Source organism: Homo sapiens, chromosome 2 (genome assembly GCF_000001405.40).
Source record: "Homo sapiens chromosome 2, GRCh38.p14 Primary Assembly".
Classification (NCBI taxonomy): domain Eukaryota; kingdom Metazoa; phylum Chordata; class Mammalia; order Primates; family Hominidae; genus Homo; species Homo sapiens.
The window spans coordinates 101968231-101995614 of NC_000002.12; the positions used below are offsets into that span (position 1 = coordinate 101968231).

Sequence of the window (27384 nt, forward strand, 5' to 3'; positions counted from 1 at the left end):
GCAAAATTTTTATAGCCAGTTGCGCAACTCATGCCTTTGTGGAAATAATTGAATGCCACCCAAATGAGAACAAGCAAAAGCTATTCAGAGCTTTCCATAGCAAGGAAGTTGGCCACCAGCACTTGTGTTTGGCAGAGACTCAAAGGCAGGCAGAGGGGTAAAAACGCTTCATGATGGAAAGCACATAAGGCTCCAGGTGTTCCGATTGGAGGCTGTTGGTGTTGGGGAGCTACAGGTGGCTAACTAGAAATGGGGCCTCCGGTATGATTGGTTAGGGGGTCTGTGTTAGTCTGTTTGCATTACTATAAAGGAATACCTGAGGCTGGGTAATTTATAAAGGAAAGAGGTTCATTTTGGCTCGCAGTTCTGCAGGCTGTATAGGAACCGTGATGCCAGCATCAGCTTTGGAGAGGGCTTCAGGAAGCTTACAATGATGGCAGAAAGTGAAGGGGAGCCAGCAAGTCACATGACAAAAGAGGGAGCAAGAAAGAGGAGGGGGAGGTACCAGGCTCTTTTAAACAATCAGATCTCACATTAACTGAGTGAGAACTCTCTCATCACCAAGGGGATAGTGTCAAGCCATTCATGAGGGATCTGCCTCTAAGATCAAATCACCTCCTACCAGGCCCCACCTCCAACATAGGGGATTACATTTCAACATGAGATCTGGAAGGGACAAACACCCAAACTGTATCATTCCATCACTGCCCCCAAATCTCACGTCCTCACTTTGCAAAATTCAATAATCTCTTTCCAATGGTCTCCCAAAGTCTTAACTTATTCTAGCCCCAACTCAAAAGTCCAAAGTCTCATTTGAGACTCGAAGTTTCTTTCACCAATGAACCTGTAAAATCAAAACCAAGTCATTTACTTCCAAAATACAATGGGGGTATAGGCATTGGGTAAACATTCTCATTCCAAAAGGGAGAAATCAACCAAAAGGAAGGGGCAACAGGCCCCACACAAGTCCAAAACCCATCAAGGCATGCATTAAAACTTAGAGTTCCAAAATAATCTCTTTTGACTCCATGCCCCACATCCTTGGCCCACTGGTGCATGGGGTGGGCTCCCAAGGCCTAGGGCAGCTCGCCCCTGTAGCTCTTTGGGGCAAAGTCCCCAAGGCTGCTGTCACAAATTAAAATTGAATGCCTGCAGCTTTTCCAGGCAGAGGGTGCAAGCTTCAGGTGGTTCTACCATTCTTGGATTTGGGGAATGGCAGCCCAGTCCTACAGCTCCACTTTGCAGTGCCCTCGTAGTAGGGACTCTGTTTGTGGTCTCCAACCCCACATTTCTTTTTAGCACTGCCCTGGTAGAGTATCTTGTTGGGGTTCCACCTCTGGGGGAAGCTTCTGCTAGGGCACCCAGCCTTTCCCATACATCGTCTGGAATCTAGAGGGAAGCTGCCAAGCCTCCTTCACTGTTACATTCTGCAAGCCTGCAGGCTTAACACCACATAGAAGCCACCAGGGCTTACAGCTTGCAACCTCCAGAGTGGTGGCCCAAGCTGTACCTGTGGCCTTTGATCCACAGCTGGAGCTAGAGCAGCCAGGATGCTGGGACGTGTGTTCCAAGGCTATATGAGGCAGCAGCACCCTGGGCCTGACACCCCAAATTATTCTTTTCTCTTACACACCTGGGCCTGTCATGGGAGGGGTCGCCTCACAGACTTCTGAAATGCCTTTGAGGCCTTTATTTCGTTGTCTTGGATATTAGCACTTGGCTCACTTTTAGTCATGCTAATCTCTAGCAAATGGTTGCTCCACAGGCCACTTGAATTCCTCTCCTGAAAATGCTGAGGCCAGACTGCAAATTTTTTATACTCAGTTTCTCTTTTAAATATAAGTTCCAACTTTAAGTAATTCTTTGTTCCCACATCTGATCATAAGCAGTCAGAAGCAGCCACACCACTTCTTGAATGCTTTTCTGCTTAGGAGTTTCTTTTGCCAGATACCCTAGGTCATCGCTCTTAAAGTTAAACCCTCCACAAATCCCTAGGCCATGGGCACAATGAAGCCAGTTTCTTTGCTGGTGCCTAACATGGGTGACCTTTACACCAGTTCCCAATAAGTTCCTCATCTCCATTTGAGACCTTCTCAGCCTGGCCTTCACTGCCCATATTTCTATCTGCATTTTGGTCAAAACCACTTAATAAGTCTTTAAGAAGTTCCAAACTCTCCCTTCTCTTTCTATTTTCTTCTAAGACTTCTTCTAAGACTCTTTCAACATCTGCCCATTGCTTAGTTTCAAAGCTTCAGGTATCTTTATAGCAATGTCCCACTCCTTGGTACCAATTTGCTGTGTTAGTCTGTTTATGCTGCTATAAAAGAATACCTGAAGCTGTGTAATTTATGAAGAAAAGAGGTTTATTTTGGCTCAAGTTTCTGTAGGCTGTACAGGAAGCATAGTGCCAGCATCTGCTTCTGGTGAGGGCCTCAGGAAGCTTACAATCATGGTGGAAGGTGAGCAGGGAGCAGGCATGTCTCATGGAGAGAGAGGGAGCAAGAGAGAGAAGGGAGAGGTCTCAGACTCTTTTAAATAACCAGATCTTATGTGAACTAACTGAACAAGAACTCACTTGTCACCAAGGGGATGACAGCAAGCCATTCATGAGAGATCCACCCCCATGATCCAATACCTCCCACCAGGCCCTACCTCCAGCATTGGGGATCACATTTCAACATGAGATTTGGAGGGGACACACATCCAACCTATATCAGAGGGATATTTAACTTTCTCTGGTGGGCCCTATGCTGGAAGTCCATGAGTGTGTATGGGGGATGGCAAAAATTGGAGCAGCTATCAGTTACTCATCAAGTCTTGGCTGTTCTGGGCTAATTGTTACAGGGGTTATTGTTTAGCTTCCTGGAATCATGGCTAGAGATGATACTGTGGCTTCCTGAGCTGCTTACTGTAGATATTGTGTTGATGTCACACTACGTTGGTTGCTGCAGTTTGTAGATCAGAGTTCTATTTTTATGTATGGTCTGGCCATTGTCTTTTTGTATATCCACTATCTCACTCCATTTTTCCTCCAGGGAGTCTGGGCTCATTGTAGGGGATTAGCTTTGATTGACCCAGATGTGGGAGAAATGGGAGAGCAATGGTGGAACCCAGTTTTGTATTGAAGAAAATACATATATATTTCATCAGAAAACTATGCATCATCTACATTGTGACCTTCCAGGCTGGGATATCAGAGTCCAGCTCTGTTCCTTATCTCAGAGTGATTCTGCAACTCTTAGTAAGTTGTAGCTGATATGAATATGAATTGGGTCTTGTCTAGTAGTGATTTGATTTAATTGACTTCCCCTACCTCCCTGGGAAAACAAGTTTTGTCTCCACTTGCAATTCATCCCAACACTGCTTTTCCCACATAAATGTGTGTGTTTTGACCTTTTCTTTGACCTGGTTATGACATTGTTTGCGTCCTTCATATCATATGAGTAACATAAAACCTTTAGTACATGTTTGTTTTTATGTTTTTATGAGTCATGATTTTATTTTTCCCAAAAATATCTTTTAACGTGTGTGTGTGTGTGTGTGTGTGTGTGTGTGTGTGTGTGTTTGGGAGAGCAGGGTAGCCAGATGGCTACAGGTATACCCGGAGACAACCTACAAAGCAGACTGGGCTTGAGAGTGATGATGCAGGGATTTGGGGCTGGCTTGTCCTTGGAGAGGGATGATTACAGCAGTGAGGCCCATTCTATGAGTTCTTGTTTGACCCTGGGGGACAGGGAGTCCTTCTGAAGATTTGACTGAGTTTGAATTTCTCATCAGCTCTGACTAAGTTATGTGTGTCTGTGATTGGGAAGGTTGGGCAGGGGAGGGCTCAGAGCTAGATTCAATTTGATGTGGAAATATGAAGAAATGTGAACTTTCTTGTATCTAAGATTTATGGAATGTTAGACATGTTTGTTCTCCAGTGCTGCAAAGAAATAGCACTTGAATATAAATTTAATTTTCTCAGCAAGGCCATTTTTTTTACTTTCTGCAGAAAGGTTATACTTGCCAGCAGTTTTGCCACAAGAATACACTGAACAAAGGAGACAGGATCATTTATAACCTGACACGTCCACCTTACTGCTGTGTCTGGTTTCCATTGGCTGGTGGGACCTCACATTCTGTATTTGTCCCGATTGGCTAGCAACTTAGAACTTTCTAAATGAGGCAAAGGCAGAGGAGAACAAATGAAGGAGGAAGTAACTTGTGGAATGCTGAGAAAGGTAAAAACACCTCCCAATAAGGAATAGGAACAGGCTATGACCCAATGCTGGCTTGGACCAGTATAAGTATGCCAGGGCAAATATTTAGGCTAAATCGTGGGAGCTAAGAACACAAAGTACATTGATTTCTTTATTACAGCTAGCAGATATCTAAGAATGTTAGTCCAGTCCTTAGAATCAACTTTGCTTCTAAGAGAAGTTACTATTTGTTCCTAATTACACGGGGAGGAAAGTCTCTTTGAAGAGGAACCTCTACTTTTTACATGGAGCAAATACCATGGCTGCTCGATTTTAGAGTTTTGTCTGGACTTGTAGAGTACATTTGTATAGCATGTATCTGCAAATGCTCACTACAACCCCAGTTGATTTGAAGGCAAGGCAGGCTTCAAAGAATTGGTGTGCAAAATACTGCTAAGAAAGGGAAGGGCATGGAACGTGGAAGATGATTTTAGGGGTCTAATTTCAGACTCTGAATGACTAAAAACAGCAGTGAGAACCATTGCAACACAAAAACTTCCTGAAATGAAACTGAATCTAACTCTGCAAACCAGAAGCCCTTCCAGGAGAAAGAAGGGTATGCAGGGGTTGTGTCATGAGTGGGAATGTGGGAGGACTTCCTGGCCCAAGGCTGAGTCTGGCTTCTGAGACGTGTGGGCTAGCATGATGGGCAGGCACTGGGGTGGGTTGTGCTGACAATTAGGAAAATAGTGAACTACATTGAGGGCATTTTTGGAGGATGACATGGCGCCCTTGAGGAGGAGGGCTGGAACTTTGGTCTGTTGGCTCATCTGAGATGCTGACATGATAGTAACTCCGGGTGGCCAGGAAGTAATATTGCTAAAGAAATGCCCAGGGTTCACAATGCACATGCTTCAGGGAGTTTGGTGGGATGACTAAGGACTTAAAAACACACCAAAACATGCCTTTGGGCACCTATCAGATAACTGGCTGTCCTAGCTCCTTAAAAATCTACCGGGTGTGGCCTGAGGTATGGGACTTGAGTTCCCTGGATACTGGCGGAAGGTCTTTGGTCTTGGAAAGTGAGAGACTGAATATGTAAGTGGATAATGGCCAGAATACATACAAAAATAGAACTCTGACCCATGATCTGCAGCAACCAGCCCAGGAAACCAACCTGTTATCCACAGCAACCAGCCCAGGAAACCAACCTATTATCCACAGCAACCAACCTAGGAAACCTACCTATTATCCACAGCAACCAACCTAGGAAACCAACCTGTTATCCACGGCAACCAGTCCAGGAAGCCAGCCTGCTCTAAGTCAGACTTGTAGGAAGTCAGAGTATTTCTCTAGCAATGGGTCCAGGAAACCAAAGAACAACCCCTGTAGCAGCTGGCCCCAAATGGCCAGCACTTGATGAGCACTGCCAGCTGCCCTGATTTTTGACCCTGCTTCCAATTTACAACCAATCGGAGAAAGGCAAGTATGCTCTCCAACCAATCATACAGGATGCCCCTGTAGGGGCGAGGAGGGAGCGCTTCCTTTCCACCTTCTGAGGGTTCACTGAAAATGAATTGACAACGAGCAGATTAATAGGAGAAAAAGGCACACACTTGTGCAGAAGCACAGTGGAGTCGCAGGAGAGTGATAACCCAATAACACAATGAAGTCCAGGTGCTTGCAGATTCTTCTTCATAGGGGAGGGAGTGATGGGGGAAACGGGGCCCTCTAGAGGGGTAGTCGATGACTTCTAGGAGGGATGAATGGGCCCATTGATCAGACAATGGTCAATAAGTGTTTTCTTTGGGAATTGAATGGGACTGGACTACAGACAGACAATCATTTGGCACGAAGTTAGTCTGGGCTCCAGGTATGGTGTTTAATTTTCAGTCTCTTCCTCTGTGATATGAATTTCAATTTTCTCTAGTTAAATTTCAGGGAAGGCATCTGTATTCCTCTTTGATGAGTCCAGTTTCTAGGTAGAGAAGGGAACTTCAGAGAACAGTTTCATCCTGTGCTTTGGAAAAGACAGAGGATTGGGGGAAGACAGGGGAAGGTCAGAGTGACCTTGAGCCTTGAGGCTGCTTCTTTAATTCACCATGTCAAAGTGCATGTCAAAGATACTTTGGGGTATCGTTTTCTGGGCCCCAACACCCCATTAGCCTGCCTGCAGCTCCTACAGGCCATCACTCTCCAATCAGGGCAAGCCTGAAGCCTTCTCTTCTTTCTACTATGATGCTTTCCCACTCCCTGCCTGCCTTTGAGTCTCTGCTAAAATGCGAGAGATGGTGGCCGATTCCCTTGCTAGAGCAGCTCTGAACAAATAGCCTTTGCTCTTTCTCACTGGGGTGGTCTTTATTTTCTTTCCACAAAAGCATGGATCTGACTCATGGAGAAACTGAAAACAAAGTGGGCCAGGCCAGTCCCAAGGGCGACGACTCAGGGCTCCTCTCAATTTCCCTCCTGCCTGGAGTCAGGGGAGGGGGGCGGGGTCGGGGGAGCAAGGCTTGGGGCTGAAGCCAGTGGCTCCTCCCTAGGCCTCTGATAGCAGGGAGAGATGAGGAATTCCCACAGGAGGAGAATCCTGACTGCTGCTTAGGCTCCTGGGGAGTTTCAGAAAGCGAGGGCCCCCTGACAGCCAACGGCTGAGCCAAGGAATTCTGGAACCCGGCAAACAGTCCTGCGTGGCTGTCCTGAGTGGCCACAGACATGGGTAGAGGGGCTGGGACTGGGACGAGGAGACCAGACCCGAGAGCACACCTGGGAACACCAGCCAGGTGTGGACGGTGTCATGAGGCTGGTGACAGAAGTTTTTCTAACTTAAAAATTAATTTGACAACATTTTAAACCTAAACAAGAGCTGCAAGAATAATAAACAGAATTCCACATTATTCTTCCAGATTCCCCAAATGTTTACATTTTTTAATATTTACTTTATCCTTCACCTTCTGCCCTCCTTATATCCGTGTGCGCGTGTGTGTGTGTGTGTGTGTGTGTGTGTGGTGTGTCTTTGTATTATTTTTTCCTGAATCATTTAAAGGTATGGTTAGGCACATCCCTTTACTGCTAAATACTTTAGGGCAGGGGTCCCCAACCCCTGGGCCGAGAACCAGTACAGTTTGTGGCCTGTTGGGAACCAGGCCACACAGGAGGAGGTGAGCAGCCCGCGAGCCTTCCCTCCTGAGCTCCGCCTCCTGTCAGATCAGCAGCAGCATTAGATTCTCAGAGGAGTGCGAACCCTGTTGCGAACTGCGCATGCGAGGCATCTGGGTTGCACGCTTTTTATGAGAATCGAACTCATGCCTGATGATCTGAAGTGGAACAGTTTCATCTTGAAACCATTCCTTCCTCCCCAGTCCGTGCAAAAATGATCTCCCACGAAGCCCACCCCTGGTGCCAGAAAGGTTGGGGACCGCTGCTTTAGGGTGTATTTCCTGAAGAAAAGGAATTTTCATATAACCACAGCACAATGATCGAAATCAGGTAATGAACATGATACTATTATCTAATACACAGACCTTGTGTAGATTTTCCCATTTGTCTCAATAATGCCCTTTACAGCAAAAGAGAATCCAAGATCATGTGTGGCATTTGGTTGTCATCTCTCTTCAGTCTCCTGTAATTTGGAATAAGTTATAGCTTTTCTTTGTATTTCATGATATTGACACTTTCGAAGAATGCCAGCTGGTGATTCTGTACAAGTCCCTGTCTTTCTGCCTGGCATTTGCTCATGATCAGATTAAGGTTGGCACCTTTGGTAGGCATCTCAGGGGTAGGGCTGAGCTCTACTCACTGCATCAGGTAATTGGCTTTTTAATCGTGTCAGCATCTAGGTGTGTGATGTCATGCGTGGCACTGAGATTCAGCTATACCCACGTGCTACAAGCATTCAGTCAAGGCAGCTCAGGCCAAAAGCATCAGCTGGCCTTCCAGTAAACAGTATGCATCCCAGAGGAGACTTCTGTTACCTATATCTCAATCAGCAACCAACGGAATGTCAGTCACCTTTTATTGGTGAAAACAGTGACCTATTCATGTTCATAATTCAAGTCAGAAACGGGCCGTCATTGCTGAGATGAAAGGTACTTGAGATGTGTGGGTTGGCTAAATGATTCTAGAAAGCACTCTCATGCTTGCATAAATAGGACACAAGAACCCTCCTTAGGGATGATGCCCTGTTCATTCTGTATCCAGCCACGGTCACTGGCAGATTCCGGTTCTCTAATGCTGGCTTGGTTTTTGGCTGAAATGAACATTTCATGTCAGGTGGAGTTTGCAGTAATGACCAGGATGGAGAACTGGAACTTTCTCGAGCCTACAGAACAGAATGTACGAACACTTTTTTTGTCCCTGCTTGGTAATAAAGGTTTAGTGTAAAAATGTCTGTGTATACATGGGGTCAAGGCTGGTCTTCGGTTTGCCTTCATGGCAATCTAGTGGCAAAGTTGCAGTAGAGAGCCCTCGCCATCTTCAGGCTTCTTCCAGGGCCAGAGTTCTCTATCAGGTCAGTTTGCAGCAGAGGGGAATTTCTTGGTGCTGTCATGAAACATTTAAGAAAGCCCAAGAGCCCTTCTTTCAACTGTGCTTGAGGGGATTTGGCTGTCTCATGCCATCCTGCATTAACAGACAGAACACACAGCTGGTAATACAGAGCTAAGTCCTGCTCAGAGCACAGCATTGTTATTTTTCAGCTCAGCTGAGCACTGGAATTCCCCTGGGCATCTTTTAAAAATCTCGATGGTTGACATTTTTCAAAAGAAGGCATACAAATGGTCAAGAAGCATAAGAAAAAATGCTCAACATCACTAATCATCAGAGAAATGCAACTTGAAACTACAATGAGATACCATCTCACACCAGAATGGCTATTATTAAAAAGTGAAAAAACAGCAGATATTGGTGAGGGTGTAGAGAAAAGGGACACACACACTGTGTGTGGGAATGTAAATTTGTATGCCCTCTATGGAATACAGCATATACATTTCTCAAAGAACTAAAAATAGAACTACTATTCATCTCGGAAATCCTACTGCTGGGTATCTAAGAAAAGGAAAATAAATAATTCTATAAAAAAGAGGCCAGGTGCAGTGGCTCATGCCTATAATTCCAGCACTTGGGAGGCTGAGGCGGGAGGATCGCCTGAGCTCCGGAATTTGAGACCAGACCGGGCAACATGGGGATATCCTGTCTCTACAAAAAGTGAAAAAAAAAATACTGGCATTTGCATGTTTATCACAGCACTATTCACAGTAGTGAATATTCAACCTAAGTGTTCACTGATGGATGATTTGATAAAGAAAATGTGATATATATATATATATATATATATATATATATATATATATATATATATCTGTGTGTATTCCACACAGTGGAATACTACTCAGTTTTAAGAAAGAATGAAATCATGAAAGAATGAAATCATGTCTTTTGCCGCCACATGGATGGAATTGGAGGCCATTATCTTAAGTGAAATAATTCAGACACAGGCAGTCAAATACTGCATGTTCTCTAAGTGGCACCTAAATAATGTGTACACATGGATAAAGAGAGAGGAATAATGGACAGTGGAGACTCTGAAGGGTGGTAGGGCAGGAGGGGGATGAAGGATGAGAAATTACTTAATGGGCACAACGTATACTATTCAGGTGATGGCTACACTAAAAGCCCAGAATTCACCACTAGGCAATGTATCCACGTAACAAAACTGCACTTGTACTGTTAAATCTATTTAAAAAATCTGGATGCGCAGGCCAGCTTCAGAACTCTGAAATTAGAATGTATATGGTGGGGCCTGGACATCAGGATTCTTAAATGCTCCCTAGTTGATGAGCAGGTGCAGCCAGGTTAAGAACCCCTGGAGGAAGAACCCTGGTCCCCCTGGGGATTGGACAGCTGAGACCTGCCCTCCTGCCACCTAGGAGATCAGAGCCCATGAAGGGGGCAGGAAGAGAAGGGAAAGTCCTTTCAAGGGTGGGTGCCAGGGAGGCCAGAGAGCTGTCTGTGCCTTCTCTGCCCCATCACTTTTGGGGGCCTCATTCTTTCAACATCTTGGAAGGGCCCAGATGTAAACAGTGGAGGGAGGCAGCTCTGAACAAAGAAGGCCCGATTGGAGATTTGGGGTAGGATTTGATCCCCAGTACTGACCAAATCCAGTCCTGACTCACCTGCCCTTAAGGCCAAGATGACTGCTTGCCGCCCATCACTGGAGGAAGGCACGGTGGGGATCCACATTCAGGGGTCTCCAGAAACTCCCTTCTGGAAGATGAGGCTTTAGTCTCCTGTCCAGGTGCACTGCTTCCCCTCTTTCTGCTGTGGGCACTGGCTGTGGCGGGGCTGTGCAGGCCCAGCATCTCCACCCTGCTGGCCGCCTCCCCTTGAGGCCCGGGAGCTAAAGTCCCCATGCCAGCCCAACTGTTTTCTGCAGGAAAATCTATTGAGATACCACTTTCCATCTGATTCTCAGGGCACTAGGAAGATCCTGAAAGAATAAACACAAGAATGTCCCCTTTCCCTCTGAAGAGGAGGACAGCAGGCCTTTGGGTTCAAGTCCTGGCTGCCTTGCTCCAAGGCCAATAGCATTTGCATTTCAAGGCCAATGTTTCCAGGTGGCTTGGTTTGGGAGTGCAGGCCCCCTGAGGGGTTAACCTGGATGGGGCGTCATCTGAAGAGGAAGGGGCCCTCCTGAGAGAGGGAGACAGTGGGACCAGCCTGTGTGGGGGCTGGCAGCTGGAGCGAAGCGGGTTGGGCATGTGCAGGATGAGGGCTTGGACTGAAGGTCTGGCCTGTGGTCAGTGGACAGGCCAGATGGTGGACAGGGACAGCCCTGGGTCCTGTAGCCACAAGAGCGATGCCCTGACTTTGACTAAGAAGACGACCACCAGTGATCCCTCTCCCTACTGGACTGGACAAGTTCTGGTGTGACCCTGCTCACACTGCCCGGTGAGTCACTGGGCTCATTCAGGGAAGCTTCTGTGGCCAAGAGCTTCACTGGGAAGATGTGAAGTGCTGTCAACTCAAAAGGGGCTGTTTTGAATTCCTGACCTCGTATAGAGCACACTTGGTCTTGCTGGTGTGGGCTAGAGCCTACCGCCCTGTGTTGACAACCCTGTTGCCCAGCCGCCACCTGCAGCCCACGGATTCTCAGGAGCCCATCACTTAGACTTCTCTGCTCCATCTGCCTAGCCTGAGCAACCAGTTCCCAATGTTCACCCTTGCAAGAACCAGGGCGCCAAGGAACACAGAACTGGCCGAGCTGGGGAAGAGGTGTCACTCAGAGATGAGCCCACAGCCCCCCCAGCTACTGGAGGAGGTCCTGAAGAAGGTCGGGAGGCAGAGGCTCTGCCAGCTGCGGGCAGCAGGGAGTCTGGAGGTGGACTGAGGGCCTGCCTGGCAGGATAGGGGAGCAGAACTGTGAGCAGGGAACAGGGCTGACCCAGTCTGACCCAGGGCTCCTGGATCAGACTCCTGGCTCTGTCTTTTACCGGCTGCGTGACTTAGTCTTTCTGACTCTCGGTTTCCTTGTCACCTTGGTAAATGAGCTAATATTGCTCACTGCATGGAGGGCCGGGGCATTAAATGGGATGATGCAGGTCCAGTGCTTGGAGCATAGAGCGAGCTTCGTAAACATCAGCCCCTTATCTCTCCTTTCATGGGAACTGGGGTGCACGGGGAGCTGATCATGAAGAAGACATCAAGAGCTCAGTCATCAGAACCCGGGGTCTGCAGGGTCAGTCTGCTTCCTTAGGGGTCTGTCCTCTATGGCCAGGTCAGGCACCAGCCCCACAAGAGCAGGCACCCAGGGATGTCTCTGGAAGGGAGGATGGGGCCCACTTCACCAACTGCCACATCCCTCCTGCTCCCACCAGCCCACTGCCGCCTCCCTCAGCCCCTCACATCAATTCCATGGACGTCTCTACCTTCCAGGCACCAGGACCAGTTTCCTGGCCTCTGACTTGCCTCCCCTGGGTGCCTGGCCCTGGATGTCTATGCAGAGCCAGGAAGGCAGCCCCTGCAGGTCTCAGCCTGACTGGGGAGTGGGGCTTGGCAGGAACAAGGTCAGCACGGCCTGGTCAGGCTGACGAGACCCTGAGCCAGTTGCCTGGGGCTCCCTAAATTCCCTCTGACCAAAATAGGCTGGGACCAGCACCTCGGGTGGGGCTGTGCACATGGGTGGGAGCCAATAGCTGTGCAGCCAAGACTGGGAGCAGGGCCAGTCCTTACTGTCTCCAGGTGGAATCCACCTTATACTAAGTATTTCTCGGTACCTCGAGTCATTATGCTTCAGACCGTGTCTTCCTGTCTAGCGCACTCATCAGTCCACATGTTGGTTTTGTCACAGTTGCTGACACTTAATGAGTGCCTTCCTCTGTGCCCAGCCTTTATTAAGTGCTGCTTTAATCCTAAAACAATACTAGATAGATAGTATTCCTGTCTCCCTTGTACAGAGGAGAAAACTGAGGCGCAGAGAGGTGAAGCCTGTGCCCAGCGACCAACCAGTACAGAGTCGTATTCTCGTTGCACTTGAAATCCACGAACAAAGACGGAACAAAGAACTAAGAAATGGTTTTTAGGCTGGACTGAATTAGTGACCGATATCACTTCGTGCAGTTTGTTCCCACTCTTGCTCACTGGGGCCCCTATTTTTAGGGTGTAGATCAGCAATGCACTCTACTCCTGAAGCAGGTGAGGGGCTGTACTTTCATCTAGCACCCAGCACCCCGAGATGGGGGGGGGGTCTGCCAGATCTGGGCCCCTGCGTCGACTCTGTGCTGACCAAGCTCAGGGAGGGGCCTGTTTGCAAGAGGCCTCTCACCTGCCTCACCTGGGAGGCGTTTGGCTCTGGCCTCATTCCGCCTGGCAGGAGCAGCCAAAATCATTCACTTCTTGATGGAAGGGAACAGGCTCCACCCCTCAGAGTGAAATATTGGCTGTAAAAAGAAAGTGATAAACAAAGCCATCCCCTCTCTCCAGGGTACATGACATTCTTTTCTGAACTGTCCTGTTGCTACTTGCTGGGGAGTTAGGGGATGTTTCAGTCTTGTTAGAGATGTTTGCCATCTTTTTTGGTCTATTTTAATCTTCCAAGAATGTGGATGGTGCCTATTCCATCTTTGCAGGGTTCTTAGCTCACTGCCATCACCACTGCCATTGCTACCATCACATGGGAACATGTGTGGCAGCCCCTCCTCGCAGCCACCCTGCACAGGAAGCCTGAGCTCCAACACGAGCTGCTTGTGTGTATTGGTTTTCTAGGGTCGTCATGACAAAGTACCACCAAGTCAGTGGTTTAGAACCACAGAAATGTATTGTCTCACAGTTCTTGAGGCTACAAGTCTGACATCAAGGTGCTGGCAGGGCCAGGCTCTCTCTGACAGCTCTAGGGGGAGATCCTTCATTATTTCTTCATAGTTTCTGTTGCTGCTGGCAACCCCTGGCGTCCCCTGGCTTGTGGACACCACATCACTCCAGGCATGCAGCTATCTCCTCCCTGTGTGTCTTTGCATCATCGTCCCTCCCTGCATGTCTGCCTCTGTGCCCCCATTTTTCCTTTTTATAAGGACACCAGTCATGTTGGATTAGGGCCTAGGCTAATAACTTTATTTTGACTTGATTATCCCCATAGAGACCCCATCTCCAACTAAGGTCACATTCTGAGATACTGGGGGTTAGGACTCCAGCATGCCTGTTTTGAAGGGACAAAATTCAACCCGTCATAACACGGTATCACCTTTGAGAAGTTATTTAATGTCTGAATACCTCAGTCTCTTTACCTGTAAAGTAGGACTGTTAATACACCATAACACTTGCCTCTTTGGGTTGCTGGGATGATCCAATCAGCCGATATGTGAGTAAAGTGTTTGGGACAGAGTCAGGCGCTCCATCAATGCTGTGTGCATGGGCACTGCTGCTCACACAGCCCTCTTATCACAGTAGCAGAAATGCAGGTTTGGGGAGGTTAAGGTACTTGCTAAAGGTTTCAAAGCTGGATTGAGAACCTGAGTCAACGTGGACCCCAGACACAGCTCCAAGATAGGCCTCCCCTGAGACCAGCGTCACACAGCATGGCCTGGCCCTGTGCAGCTGGAGGACACCAGGTGCAGCCAGAAGGCAGGGACCCTGTGCTGGAAAACGATTTTTCCATCTGTTCTGTCAAAGATTTGCCATTGAAGTTCAAATACATATTCAGCCCTCAATATTTAACATGGATGAAGCCCCACCAGTGGCTTCCTCATCTACAAATGCAGATGGTGCACTGGAGTGGCCCCGAGGCTCTTTCTATGCAGATGATCTGTGGGTCTGTGGATTTACAAGCACGAGAACGAAACACGACCATCTAACTAGACACTCCCAAGCCCCAGCTAATATTATGCTTAGTTCCAGCAGTAGTTGGCCCAAGACAGCCAAAAAACTTGGACAGCTCCTCTGGGCTGGTGAGGGTGGGCCTGGCAGGCTTCTTCTGCCTAAAGAGCCGGAGCAGCCAGGGCACCGGGCAGGGAAGCTCATGGAGCTCTCAGATCCCCCTGAGAATTAACGGCTAGGTCCACAGAATCCTGGAGAGCCTGGTGGCTTCCTCCCCAGTCCCCAGCCAGGACCGTAAGAAAGTCTGGGGGGTGAAATTCTTCACCACCATTTCCTGGGGCTGACTTCTCTGAGACCAGGCCCAGGAGTGATCTGAACATTGTCTTCTTGGTGACTTTGGCTGTTGGGAGTGTGGTCAGGATGGTTGGCCATTCATTCCCCCTCCTGAGGGCTTTGATGGGTGGTGTTGGGGCTGTTTCCTTGGAGGCTCAGGGGATGGACTTGCTCTTCCTCATTCAGTGGCTGGAAGGCAAGGCATGAACCCATGATTCAGGTAAGACACCATTTACCACCTGCTGTGAACTGAATGTCGGTTTCCCCCAAGAGTCAAAATTCAGTTGTTGAAATCCTCACCTCCAAGGTTCTTCTGCTAGAAGGTGGAGTCTTTGGGAGGTAATTAGGTCATGAGGGGGAGGCCTTCATGAATGGGATTAGTGAACTTATAAAAGAGACCCCAGAGAGCTCCCTCACCTTTTCATCCAGTGAGGACACAGGGAGAAGATGGTCATTAGCGACCAGGAAGAGGGTCCCCCCACCAGAACCCCATGCTGGCACCTGATCTCGACTTCCGGCCTCCAGAAATGTGAGAAATAAGTTCCAGATTCCTGTTGTTTCTAAGCCATCCCGCCCTAAGGTACTTTGTTAGACGCAGCCTGTGCTGACTCACACGCTGCCTTATTTGATTTTCATTCACAGCTTTGAGAAGCAGATAGGCTTGAATGAGCATGGAATGTATCTATTTAAAAAGCAGCTGGAAGTCTGTCAAGTGCATTCTGGAAATGGATTCAGGCTAACAGAGTGTTCTGAATAGAGACGCCTAAAACAAGTAAGTATGATCTGTTATCAATGCATTATCACTTTATGGTATACGATTGATTTTCTTAAGTATGTGATTGTAGTGTCTATAATTTTGTGTTTTTGTACTTAGCAACCCTTTTTCATATAGATGGAATCAGAATAAATTTCATCCTAGTTCTATTTCCAAAATATTATTGGTGCCCCTAGTTGTACTGCCTGAGTGTTGTCAGATCAAGGCTTACAAACTCACGGGCGATGCTGCAGAATGAGTGACAACAGATAATGCCAATTGCCCAGATTGAATCCAGCAAGAAATGACATTGGAATGGCTCTACCTTGTGGAGGGAACTGTCCAGTGCAGAGGACCTGCCTGAGTATTGCTTACAATACATCTTTCTGGTTATAATGAAGCCATTTATTTGTTTACATCTTTATTATTGCCACTTTCCTCCACTGGCTTGGAAATCCTTAGAGCCTAGAACAATGCTGGGCTTGGAGCAGGTGCTTGAAAGCATATTACCAAAATGAATGAATAAATGAATGAATGAAAGAATAGGCGAAGATGCTGGTGCAGACCTCGGTCTTTTGTGAGCTTGGTGAGTGTGAACCAGAGTCTGAGATCCCCGGTTTCCCTGATTAGACACTGAGGATCAGACGTTGGAAGCACCACTGTCCTGTAAGGCCCCTTCTCACCCAGCTCGGCAGCCTTTGCTACACCCCTGTCTTTATTAACTGTCCTCTGTGAGTCCACCTTGAAAGGTTCTCACTTACTTGCTTTTTCTCTCTGCAGGAGCCAAAGACATAGCAATGGAGAACGTGGGTGGTACAGCCCTCCACCCTGGCGAGCAGCACATTAGAATCACGTAGGAGCTTAAAAAGTACTGACTGGCCTGGTCTTTTTCGGTGTGAAGGTGGGATGCAGGCTTCCTGGGGTTATCCTCTCGTACAGCCAGAGTTGAGAACCATCTGAGTAGCGCTTGTCACACTTCTGGCCACATCAGAATCGTCTGAGGGACTTGTTCACTGCAGGTTGCTGGGTCCCATCTCTAGCCTCTGATCCAGTAGCCTGGGGTGGGGCACAGGATGTCCTGCTGCTGGGGTCTGGGCAGCGCTATGAGAACTGCTGACGTTGGAGCTCGATCAGGTGGTCCCTCACTCCCTGACCCAGGGCATTTGCTGCTTCCTGTCTCTGCCATTCTTTTCTCAACCTGGGGCACTTGCTTTTCTCGCTATGCTGCCCTGCCCTTTGCTGAGGCCTGGGCTATCCCTGGCAGGGTGCAGAAAAAAAATTTTTAAGTTACTTTTCTCAGCCCAAAGGAGACTGGAATGCTTCACAAGGGATTCTACTTGACAGGCAATTGGACCACCCAAATGGCAAACTAAAAGCATAGAAGCGGACACCAGAGGCTCCTGGACCTGAGATGTGGCCCTGGAAGTGACCAGATGTGGTCTCAAGAGATGGGGGCCCAGGGCTAGGAATGCCGCCATCCGGGGAGGCCCTAGAGCAGAGCAGAGCAGCTGTGGGCTGGTGCCAAGCTCACTCCTGCTTCTCTCTGCACGTCTCCCTCATTCTTTTCTCTCTGAACTGTGACCCTTTTGGCCCCTCTGAGTACCAGGTGGGACAAGGTGACCCCTCAGCACTTGAGTTTACACCTTAGATGTGTAGGTCCTCACAGAGGCCAACTTATCTCCTTCTGGGACCAAATTCCAAATTCCTAAAGAAAAAACAAACCAAAAACGGATATGATAAACCTATCTCAGTGGTCAGCCCCTGGGGCGCAAACATTCCCCTGAGTCAGGGAAGGGTGACTGTAACACAGGTATCATTATGATTTAGGTGTGGCAAGACTAGCAGGTCAGGGGTGCCTGCCATTGAAAAGACTGTCATACAGTTCCCAGGTGGAAGGGGTGTGCCAGGAGGGGCAGCCAGAAGGCAGATGGAGGGAAGCTGCCTTTATGGTGTTTCTGCTGGGAGGCACAGGTGCGGTGGAGGAAGCAGGCTTAGGATTGGTTCGTGTGAATGTCTTCAGTGGGCTCTGGTTATCTGGTACCTGGCCCGGGGTGATGAGGGTAGATAGAGGCCCAGAAGGTGAGAGCCTAATACCCAGAGCGGTCGGGGGGGTGGGTAGGCTCAGGGCTGGTTGGTTTGGGAAGCATGTTTGTGGGCCCGTTGGTTACCGTCTCAAGGAATGGGCTAGGCCTGGGTGTGGCTGTCCTTCTAGGATCAGCAAGGCAGCAAATATCAAAGCACCAGAATACACAAAGTAAAAGACTGCATTAATACAGGGTAGTTTACAAAGAAATGGGAAATTGTTGGTTCTGAGCTGGGTGGGGATTGAAACGGTGTTCCCTGCAGATCCATTTAAAGTCTCTCTGTAAATACGCGTTGGTGTGTAACTGTTCCTTGTCTCTAACCTCAGCCAGCCCCTCCCATGCCAGGTGAGGGGTCTTCCCACCTCCCTTTTCCTCTCTGGGTGTCCCTCCATTATGATCTGGGGACCAAGGCTGGCTGTAGCAGTGTGCCTCCATGGCCTAGGGCGGTTGGCAAATGCAATTTCTTCGGCAGTGCTGGATAAAGTGGGATGATGCAGTGACCACACAGAATGTCATTTCTGATGAAAGCTGGCATGCCAGCCCGTGACAGGACACAGAGGAGCGTGGATTCCCCTTCATGGTTGACTTCAGCCAAGGCCATCATCCCCGCTGCCAAAGCCTGCCCTGATTGCCTGCCCTGGGGGAGAGAAGTGTTTTGAAGATGACAAATCAAAGTCAGGTCCTGCATGGAGTTTGCGTGCCTGACAGCCTGGCTAGCACAGGAGGACATGCAGGTGGAATTTGTGCAAGCCTGTTATTTTCTGTAACACAATACACACTGAGAAGGCAATGGGTACCTTGGACCCTGCAGGCCAATTCAAGCACCATCACTACTTTTCAGAAGTGTGGGGCATAGATGTCAACTGAGCCTAGCAAGATGTCCTATGTTACCAAGAGACTATTAGAAAGCAGAGCAGGTCTCAAGATTCAATGAAACAATTGCCTGGAAGCTGGAAGATAATATGGAAGCTAGGGATATAATAGAGTATGTTGCTGGGAACGGTGGCTCCTGCCTGTAATCGCAGCACTTTGGGAGGCTGAGGTAGGGGGGATCACTTGAGCCCAGGAGTTGGAGGCCAGCCTGGGCAACACAGCAAGACCCCATTTCTATAAATAATTAAAAAAAAAATTAGCTGGGTGTTGTGGTGCATGCCTGTATTCTTAACTACTCCAGAGGCTGAGGTGGGAGGATGGCTTGAGTCCAGAAGTTCAAGGTTACAGTGAACTACGATTGAGCCACACTGCATTCCAGCTGGGTAACAGAGGGAGACTCTGTCTCTAAAAAAAAAAATTAAAAAAAAAGTAGGGTGGGTGGTTGAGGGTTGTGCAGTGTGAGTGAGGGTGGCCAGAAAAACCATTTCCGTGACAGTTACAAAGGCTGTGTGTGGATGGTGACGCTGAGGTTTTATCTTCAAGTGAGTTGTGCATATGAGGTTTGTTTGATTCTAAAGCATTTATTTTCTAAATGCAAACTTTTAGAATAAAGTCTAGTTCCTGTTGCTCTATTTTGGCATAGGTTTTTAATGTTTCATATACTTAGAACTTCAAAATGGTGGTGGTTGGGGTCTGTCTTCTTACCTGCTGGAGGCCCTGCCAGGTGCTAGCCAGAAGCAGTCATTATTGCTTAGGCAGTCGTTGTGGGAGGCTGGGTGTGGCTCTCGCGGAGCCAGAATGAAGGATAGCAACTCATTAACACACACACACCCACCCCTAAACACACACGTGCACCTACACACAGCTGGGAGTCCTAAGGAAGAGACCACACCTTTTTTGTTTTTTGCTTTTTTACCACCTTCATTATGAGTCTAAAGTCAATTCAATTAACCAGCTATTTGAAATTTTTACATCTAACAGGAGCTGAGAAGATCCAGTGGGTTATTGGTTAGAATAGCTGGTGGGGCTGGTGGGTCGGGGTAGGTGAGAGGAGGGAAGGGTGATGTGGAGGATGGACTGGGGTGTTTGCTGCAAGGTGGGTAGCTGAGGGTTGGTTCAGGTGTTTGGCATTGGTTGGGATCCAATAGCTGTTGTCTGAGAGTCTGCTCGTCATCTCTTCCTGCTGAGGCTGGTGGGACTGAACTGACCTTCATATCTCAGCGATGAGTCCTGTAGACTGCAGGCTCCACGGCAGTTGCAGCTCCCAGGGCTTCAGATTGGAGCTGCCTGTGACATGCAGAGGTGGAAGCACAGCCTCAGCTGTGGTGGACGGCAGCCTCTTTCAGCCCCCAGGTGCATAACAAAGGCTGTCTTGATTGTATCTGTGAGAGTGCCATGATTTGGGGTTTTCTCTGTCGGTTTGGACCAGATCAGAAAGCAATTGGGACTATTGGTAAGAAAAGCCAATCTGTCTATTCTTGGTGTGGGGACACTTGAGCTGGTTCTCAGCAGTGCAAATAATAGCTAGATGAATAAGCATTGAGCTGCTGTCTGATGCAGAATGAAAATCAGATTTCCATCATGAGGAACAGGAATTTTTTTCATTTCTCCCCCAGAGCAGAGAGTGTAGGTCCACCTCAGTGAGTGGCTAATCCATGTCCTGGGAGGCCGACTTCCAGGGTTTCTCTCTCAGATAGAGAGAGACAGGTTTTAGGTCTCTAGAGTCTAAAGAATGAAGAATCATTGCTTCAGTCCTTGCAATAAACTTCCTGGGCCCACGGGGCAGAAGGGCAAGGCCGGGGAGCAGGGGCTTCCACCTCATGCAAGGGAGACAGCGCGCCTCAGGTCAGAGCAGGAGGGGCCTGCTTGGAGCCTCCTGAGCCACCGGCAGGCAGAGGGTTTGGTTGTGTGGATGGTAGAGCAGGAGGGTGGAATGCTCGGGGCCAGGTACTGCATGGGGCCTGGGTGCCTGTGGAGGGAGAGCAGGCTCTGGAGGGGGCCAGGTTCCAGCTGCCCTCTCATGCATGCTCTGGGTCTCGTGGGAGGGGGGTTGGAGGGAAAGTGGGCAGGGGCTGTTCGTGTTATGGGTGGTGTCCTGGAATTCTCACCTTTCCCAGTGTCTCTCATGGAAACCCAAGGTGGGAGAAAGAAGCAGAAGGAGATCCTGGAACCAAAAACACTTCAGCAATGAAGACTGGATTTTCTCTGAAATGAACAACAAAATAAAATCTCTCCTGTAGATCTCTAAAGCTCTGTGCATACTTTGTCTATGCTTTCTAGACAATCTTAGCCTTAGGTATGAAAGGAATTGAGGTGAATAGTGGAGCCGTTCATTAGATGTCCACATTCTAATCCCTGGAAGCCGTGAACAACATGTTACCTTACATGGGAAAAGGGATTAAGACACAGAGTTTTTTTTTTCCTGTTATTGTCCAGTTGACCAGGACAGCCTTTAGATTTTTTTTTTTTTGAGCCAGTGTCTTGCTCTGTCATCCAGGCTGAAATGCAGTGGTGCAATCATAGCTCACTGCAGCCTCAAACTCCTGGGCTCAAGCCATTCTCCTGCCCCAGCTTTCCAAGTAGCTGGGACTACAGGCATGCCCCACCCCACCTGGGTAATTAAAAAAATTTTTTTTGTAGAGATGGGGGATTTGGCTTTGTTGCCCAGGCTGGTCTGGAACTCGTGGCCAATCTTCCTGTCTCAGCCTCCTGAAGTGCTAGGACCGTGCTTGCCCAGAATTTTTAATTTTATGGGTTCTGATTGCTAAATTTATCCTATGGTTTTGATGACCATATTTTCTTGAATCCAAATTAAGGCTCTCTGATCTGACAATGAGTGAGTTTCTGGGGATAATATGACAGAGTATTTGGAATTGAGGGTGTCCCATAAAAACTGGGGACACATATTTCCTGTCACAATACATGACGTAGCCTCTCTCTCCCTTCTCACCTTCCCCACCCTGTGGCTTGTACATTACAAGGAAGAGAGAGGGGTTGGAACCTTGCCACAAGGGTTTTCAGAGGATTCTGCTAATCTCTGAACCAGACCAGACTTTGGAAAGGCCTCCTGGGTCTAAAAAATGAGGAATCATTGCTTCAATCTTTGCAATAAACATCCTGGGTGACTTTCACCTCAAACCTCAGAGGATTTCACGATGGTACAGAACATTCTGTGCTTGTGGGTTTCCCATCAGTTGGTGGAGAAATCGAGCCATTCAAATGTGCTATTGGTGGTGGACACAGTGCAGCATGGGCCATGAAGCGGGGCGGAGGGGTAAAGTAGCCATGGCTCCATGAGGCTCCGGCAGGCCTGGGGACTTACTCTTGGGTGTCTGTTGGGTCTGAGCATTAGTTCTTGAAAAGACTATGTAAGCAATTCTTGTGACTCTATGATCAAGTTTTCCCATAGAAAGAAGTGAGGTTATGTAAATTCCTCCTTATAGATCACAAGATCAGCAGTTAACTCCAGCATGGCCAAGAGCAGATGGCATGGTTTTGCTTCCTCTCTTTGGCTGAATTAAGCTGTGGGCTTCCTGTGTTATTTAATGAACCGAATCCTAATTGAGGCAGGTCAGCTGGGGGTGATGTGTTTAGTTGAGCACAGAGCGAGGGTGGAGACAGGGGCTCAATTATTGGCGTGTTCTGTATCCTGGGATGATGATGGTATTTGGTGAGATTTTCCTACTGGGATGAATTCCCACCCTTGAAACTTACTAGGCTTGACTCAAAATTTGTGCTTTGTTCTTCAATCTTGCCTCATCAAAATAATGGGAAAAGCCCCAAATATTTCACCTTCTAATGGTCCTTAAAAAGAATAAACATGATATAATGTAACATTTACCCTTTGCTCAACAAACTCCATTTTGGGGCATTCACAGTTTCCAAACAGTTTCCATAAGAATCCATCCATTGTGAAGTTATACACACCATTAAATCAATACAGCTTACTCACCTTGCTCCCCATCCTCAAATGTCTGGACTTCAGTTTTCTCTTCTTTTTAAACTGGAAGACAAATTTGACCATCTCTAAGTTTCTACCTAGCTCTAACATTGTATTTTTCTAAGATTTTATTTAACCAGTTGAGATTTGACTTTCGAGAGTTACCATCCTTTGTTAGCAAAAGGATAAAACTAGGGCCCATGGGCCCTTCTGACTTAGCCATTTGTTCTGGGTATGAATTCCCTAAGATTTCTCTAAAGGAGTTTCTATACCTGCCTCTTTACTTGTAAGAAAATGAAGATCTGCATAAACCAGGCAGACAGTGTTATGAAGGTTAATGCCATGGGTTTTAAAGTACATTTTGAAAAGCATTCTTCCTTTCCAACCACCAACAAAGGGATTCCAAATTACACCTCTTCCTAAACGATGCAACATGAGTGAGCACATAGGCGAGAGGTCGCAGGGGATGATAAGAGGGTTCTAGCCCTGGAGCCTGGCTTTCCAGAGAGGCTGTGGCCAAGGTTTTACGCTCCCATTTGGCCTCCTGTTCATATGAAGGAAGGCCCAGGACCATGAGTTCTCAGATCCGCGGGCTCTGAGCAAACCGGGTGCACCCTGACTCGGCTTCATCCTCTCTAACTCCACGGTGGCGACTTGCATGGGAGAGAGGAGCAACCAACAACACCTTCGGGCTGGTTAGGGGGTTTAGGAGACATTGGTTTTGTACAGACATGACTTGATGCTGGATTCCCACTTTCAGAAGACAAACTATTCAGTTCTGCAAACTCCACAATCTAGAATAAGGAATTAGATAACCAACCCCCTCCTTCACTTAACAGTTAAAAATCATACAGGACTCTGAAAACAAAACAAAACAAAAACTTAACCTTTCTTAGATCCTAAAAGCGTTCCTTGGATGGAAAACCAACTCTTCCACTGGCTAAAGATCAAAAGCATCTTTTTCTCTTTAATGGGGCCACAGTTGGGCAAAACGCCCATCACTTTAAAACCACCTCTCGGCTGGAAGTACGTAATTTTTAGCGAGTCACAGAAAAATAGGGAAACTTATGCGGCGTTTCCTTGGCCACTTCCCCATCTGGGTGATCATGTACTCAGACCCAGCACTGCAGCCTGGGGGTGCTCCCCGTGAGGAGGAAAAGGTGTGTCCGCTGCCACCCAGTGTGAGCGGGTGACACCACCCGGTTAGGAAATCCCAGCTCCCAAGAGGGTATAAATCCCTGCTTTACTGCTGAGCTCCTGCTGGAGGTGAAAGTCTGGCCTGGCAGCCTTCCCCAGGTGAGCAGCAACAAGGTGAGAGAATGCAGAGCTGCAGGTAAGAGGCTTTGGAGAGAGAGAGAGAAAGAGAGAGAGGGAGAGAGAGAGAGAAAGAGAGAGAGAGAGAGAGAGAGGGAGGCAGAGAGAGAGGGAAAGGCAAAGAGAGGCAGAGAGAGAGGCAGGGGGGAAGGCAGAGAGAAGAGAGAGAGATGGAGAGACAGGCAGAGAGACAGAAAGAGGCAGAGAAACAGAGACAGAAAGAGGCAGAGAGACAGGCAGAGGCAGAGAGACAGAGAGAGACAGAGGCAGAGAGACAGAGACAGAGAGAGACAGAGAAAGACAGAGACAGAGAGAGGCAGGGAGACAGAGAGAGACAGAGAAAGACAGAGACAGAGGCAGAGAGACAGAGACAGAGAGACAAAGAAAGACAGAGACAGAGAGAGGCAGAGAGACACAGAGACACAGAGAGAGGTAGAGAGACGGAGACAGACAGAGAGACAGAGAGAGGCAGAGAGACAGAGATGGAGAGAGACAGAGAGAGGCAGAGAGACAGAGATGGAGAGAGACAGAGAGAGGCAGAGAGACAGAGATGGAGAGAGACAGAGAGGCAGAGAAACAGACAGAGATAGAGGGAGACAGAGAGAGGCAGAGAGACAGAGAGAGGCAGAGAGACAGAGATGGGGAGAGACAGAGAAAGGCAGACAGAGACAGAGACCAAGACAGAGGGAGAGACATAGAGACAGAGAGAGAAAGACAGAGAGAAACACAGAGACAGAGAGAGAGAGACGGAGACAGAAGAGAGAAATCTGGGAGTCGGGACACCTGAGTCCATTTCTGGTGGAGGCTCAGGCGACTCTCCGGATTTCTCCAGACCTCAGGAACCTGATCCGGGTGACCTTCCTTGCCCATGACCTTCTTCACCTGTGTGAAGGTGGCTGGAAGCATTACTTGATATTTCTGGGCCTCAGTTTTTCTATCTGTCAAAAGAGGGGCTGGATCAGGGGGTTTCTAAGGACCTTCCATGATTCTAGGCCACAAGTAAAATCGCAGTGGAATCTAACACAAGATAGCGGACCACTGAGACCCGTTTCTACCGCATGAGGCTGCACGTGGGATGTGCACTGAATGGAGGGCTTTCTTCCTTAGAAGCCTCATGAGATTTTCTGGTGTGAAAAGCTTGATATTCTAAAGTCACTGTGGATTCTCTAATGCCTGGCTCTCGGGTGGTTTTCTGGGAGAGGTAGTAGAGTGTGGTTAGGGCTGCGGTGTGTCCCCAGAGGCGAACTGGCCTGGGTTCTGAGTCCAGCTTGCCTGGGATGAGCTGCGTGACAGCTCACCTGCTCAGGGTCTCCATTTCCACCTGCAAATAGTAAGGTCAAGGGTGATGAGGAGTACAGTCGATGAATCCAAGTAGTATCAAGCACTCAGGACTTAAGGTCACCCTCACACAGGGGAAGAAGGTCATGAGTGAGGAAGGTGGCCCAGATCAGACACCTGAGTTCTGGAGAAATCAGGAAAGTTGCCTGAGGCTCCAACAGAAACAGACTCAGGTGTCCTGACTCCCAGATCTCTCTGTCTGTCTTTGTTTCTCTCTGTCTGCCTGTTTCTCTCTCTCTCTCTGTCTCTGTTTCTCTCTTTCTGTCTCTACTTCTCTCTATGTCTCTGTTTCTCCCTATCTCTGTTCCTCTCTCTGTCTCTCTTAAATCATGGCACACAGTTTGCTCTTGCTGTTTGAAGCTCCTTCTCTTTAATTGCATTCCCTTTTGGGGGCCTTTGCTCTTCTTAGAGCCCTTCAGGACTCCTCTACCCCCACCCACAACTCTGCTGTAAGATCTTTGTCAAGACCCTACATTGCCCTGAGTTCTCTCTTGTGTGAGCAGAGGCAGCCAAATGTCCAGACCTTCCTGGAACCTCCCAGCGCCGCATGGCTGCAGTGGGAGCTGCCGGCCCCCTTTCTGCACTCCATCCCACCTCCTGCACACTCACCTCTTCCATGCCCATTTCATCAGCTCTGCCCTCCCAAGGCCAGTGGGCTTCCCGCCCAGCTGATCATTTGGTATTACCACATGCACAGACACGGGAGAGTGCCTTTCTTCTAACCTCATTTAGAAGTTTGTCCATTTGGATTGTATTTTGGTACTTGGTTACCCTAAAAGGCAAGAAGGAAGCTCGGCTGAATGTTTCAGGGCAGCTATCCTCTCTCCCGGGGTCTTCAGTTGGCCTGGGAGCCTCCTACCCGGCCCTGCTAGTAGGGGTTCCCTTCTACATCCCCACTCCCACCCCGACCTCCAAAGCCTGTTTGACAATTAGAGCTGAGGGATCCAGAACATCCACGGACCCCGAGCCCCCCTCCCCTCCCCCTGGAGAGCAGAGTTGGCCTCTAGCAGCAACAGGACTGAAGCAGAGCAGACTCGGGTTGCTTTTTCATGTTTTCATTACGGCTTTCCATAGGGGAGACACTCGATCATGACAGTGTCTTTGCCCAGTGGTTCTCAAACTTGAGCCCGCATCAGAATCACTGGTGGGCTTATGAAAATGCAGAGGGCTGAATGTCTGATTCAGTAAGTCCTGGTTGGCGACCTGAGAATCTGCATTTCTAATAAGTGTCCAGGTGATGCTGACACCAGTGCTAGGGGACCACACTTTGAGAACCCTTTCCTTAGGAGACGTGTCCAGGGCCAAGCCTGTGGGGGAGCTATCTCAGGACAAGGGCCTTTTGAGATGGTGCCTTCACATCTCCTGAGGGTCTTGTGAATATTTGGCTGAAGGCCTTGTGAATATGTGGCTGATTCTGATTCTCTTGGTCTGAATTTTTCATAAATGGTGTTTGTGCTGCCGGTCCATGGACCACACTTTGAGTAGAAAGGATTTAGAAAGTCTGGGAAGAGGTCTTCTTATTTGGGGGCAAGGAAGAAGTTAGTGTAAAGTTTTGGATGGATCCTAAATTTTCTAGAGCTAATATTCATGAGAATGTTTTCTTAAATGTCTGTGGTAGGCAGAATTCTAAGATGACTCTGGCTGATCCATGCCCTTGTATAATTCCCTCCTTGTGGGATGTGTGAATAGATGGAACATCACTACCATGATTAAGTTACTTTATGTGACAAGGGTGAAGGAATTCTGTGGAAGTAATTTAGGTTCTCAATCAGTTGACTTGAAGTTAATAAAAAAGGTCACATGCTGGGTGGGCCTGACATAGTCAGGTGAGCTATTTAAAAGATTACATGTGCTGGGTGGGCCTGACATAACCAGGTGAGCTGTTTAAAAGAGGATCAGGAGGTCAGTGTCAAGTGGTCAGAGACTTAAAGCAGCAGCAGATGTTGTTTTTTTTCCATTGGCCTTGAAGAAACAAACTGCCCTGGTGTAGAGAGGACCTCAGGGCAGGAAACATGGGTGGCATGTAGGAGCCGAGAGTGGCCTTATCCAGGAAGAAATTGGGGGCTCAGTCCTGCAGTCATAATAGCCCTGTGGGCTTGGAACAGGAACCTGTGCTCCAGGAAGGAGCACAGCCCAAACGATACCTTGATTTCAGTCTGGTGGGACCCTGAGCAGAGACATCTCACCTACAGCAATGTGAGCTAACCAATGCGGTTGTTTTTAAGTGGCTGAGTCTGTGCTGGTGTGTTACACGGCAATAGA

At 48.2% G+C, this 27384-nt stretch overlaps 1 protein-coding gene and 1 long non-coding RNA gene across 5 annotated transcripts in view, besides 1 other annotated feature; both read left to right on the forward strand.

The window, feature by feature from the left end:
• Positions 14683–15183: an enhancer, noted in NCBI's record as "H3K4me1 hESC enhancer chr2:102599375-102599875 (GRCh37/hg19 assembly coordinates)". NCBI's record gives its function as "activates a minimal SCP1, AML or CMV promoter by ChIP-STARR-seq in naive H9 embryonic stem cells {active_cell/tissue: H9 hESC(naive)}" and the evidence as "EXISTENCE:reporter gene assay evidence [ECO:0000049][PMID:30033119]".
• LINC01127 (long intergenic non-protein coding RNA 1127) lies at positions 15235–17315 on the forward strand. The gene is made up of 4 exons (NR_103791.1): positions 15235–15348; positions 15462–15591; positions 16354–16707; positions 16918–17315. It is a non-coding gene; the product is annotated as a long intergenic non-protein coding RNA 1127 (long non-coding RNA).
• A 6414-nt stretch (positions 17316–23729) lies between these two features.
• IL1R2 (interleukin 1 receptor type 2) overlaps positions 23730–27384 on the forward strand; it is a 36585-nt gene continuing 32930 nt past the window's right edge. For 2 of the 4 annotated variants that reach the window (NM_004633.4, NM_001261419.2), the window contains exon 1: positions 23730–23781. Coding sequence is in view for 1 of the 4 variants with exons in the window: in XM_006712736.4 (XP_006712799.1) it covers positions 23790–23803 (14 nt within the window). In the remaining 3 variants the exon portion in view is untranslated. Of the gene's footprint in view, positions 23804–27384 lie in introns of all 4 variants that reach the window. The other 2 variants (XM_006712736.4, XM_006712734.4) reach the window with 2 other exon arrangements.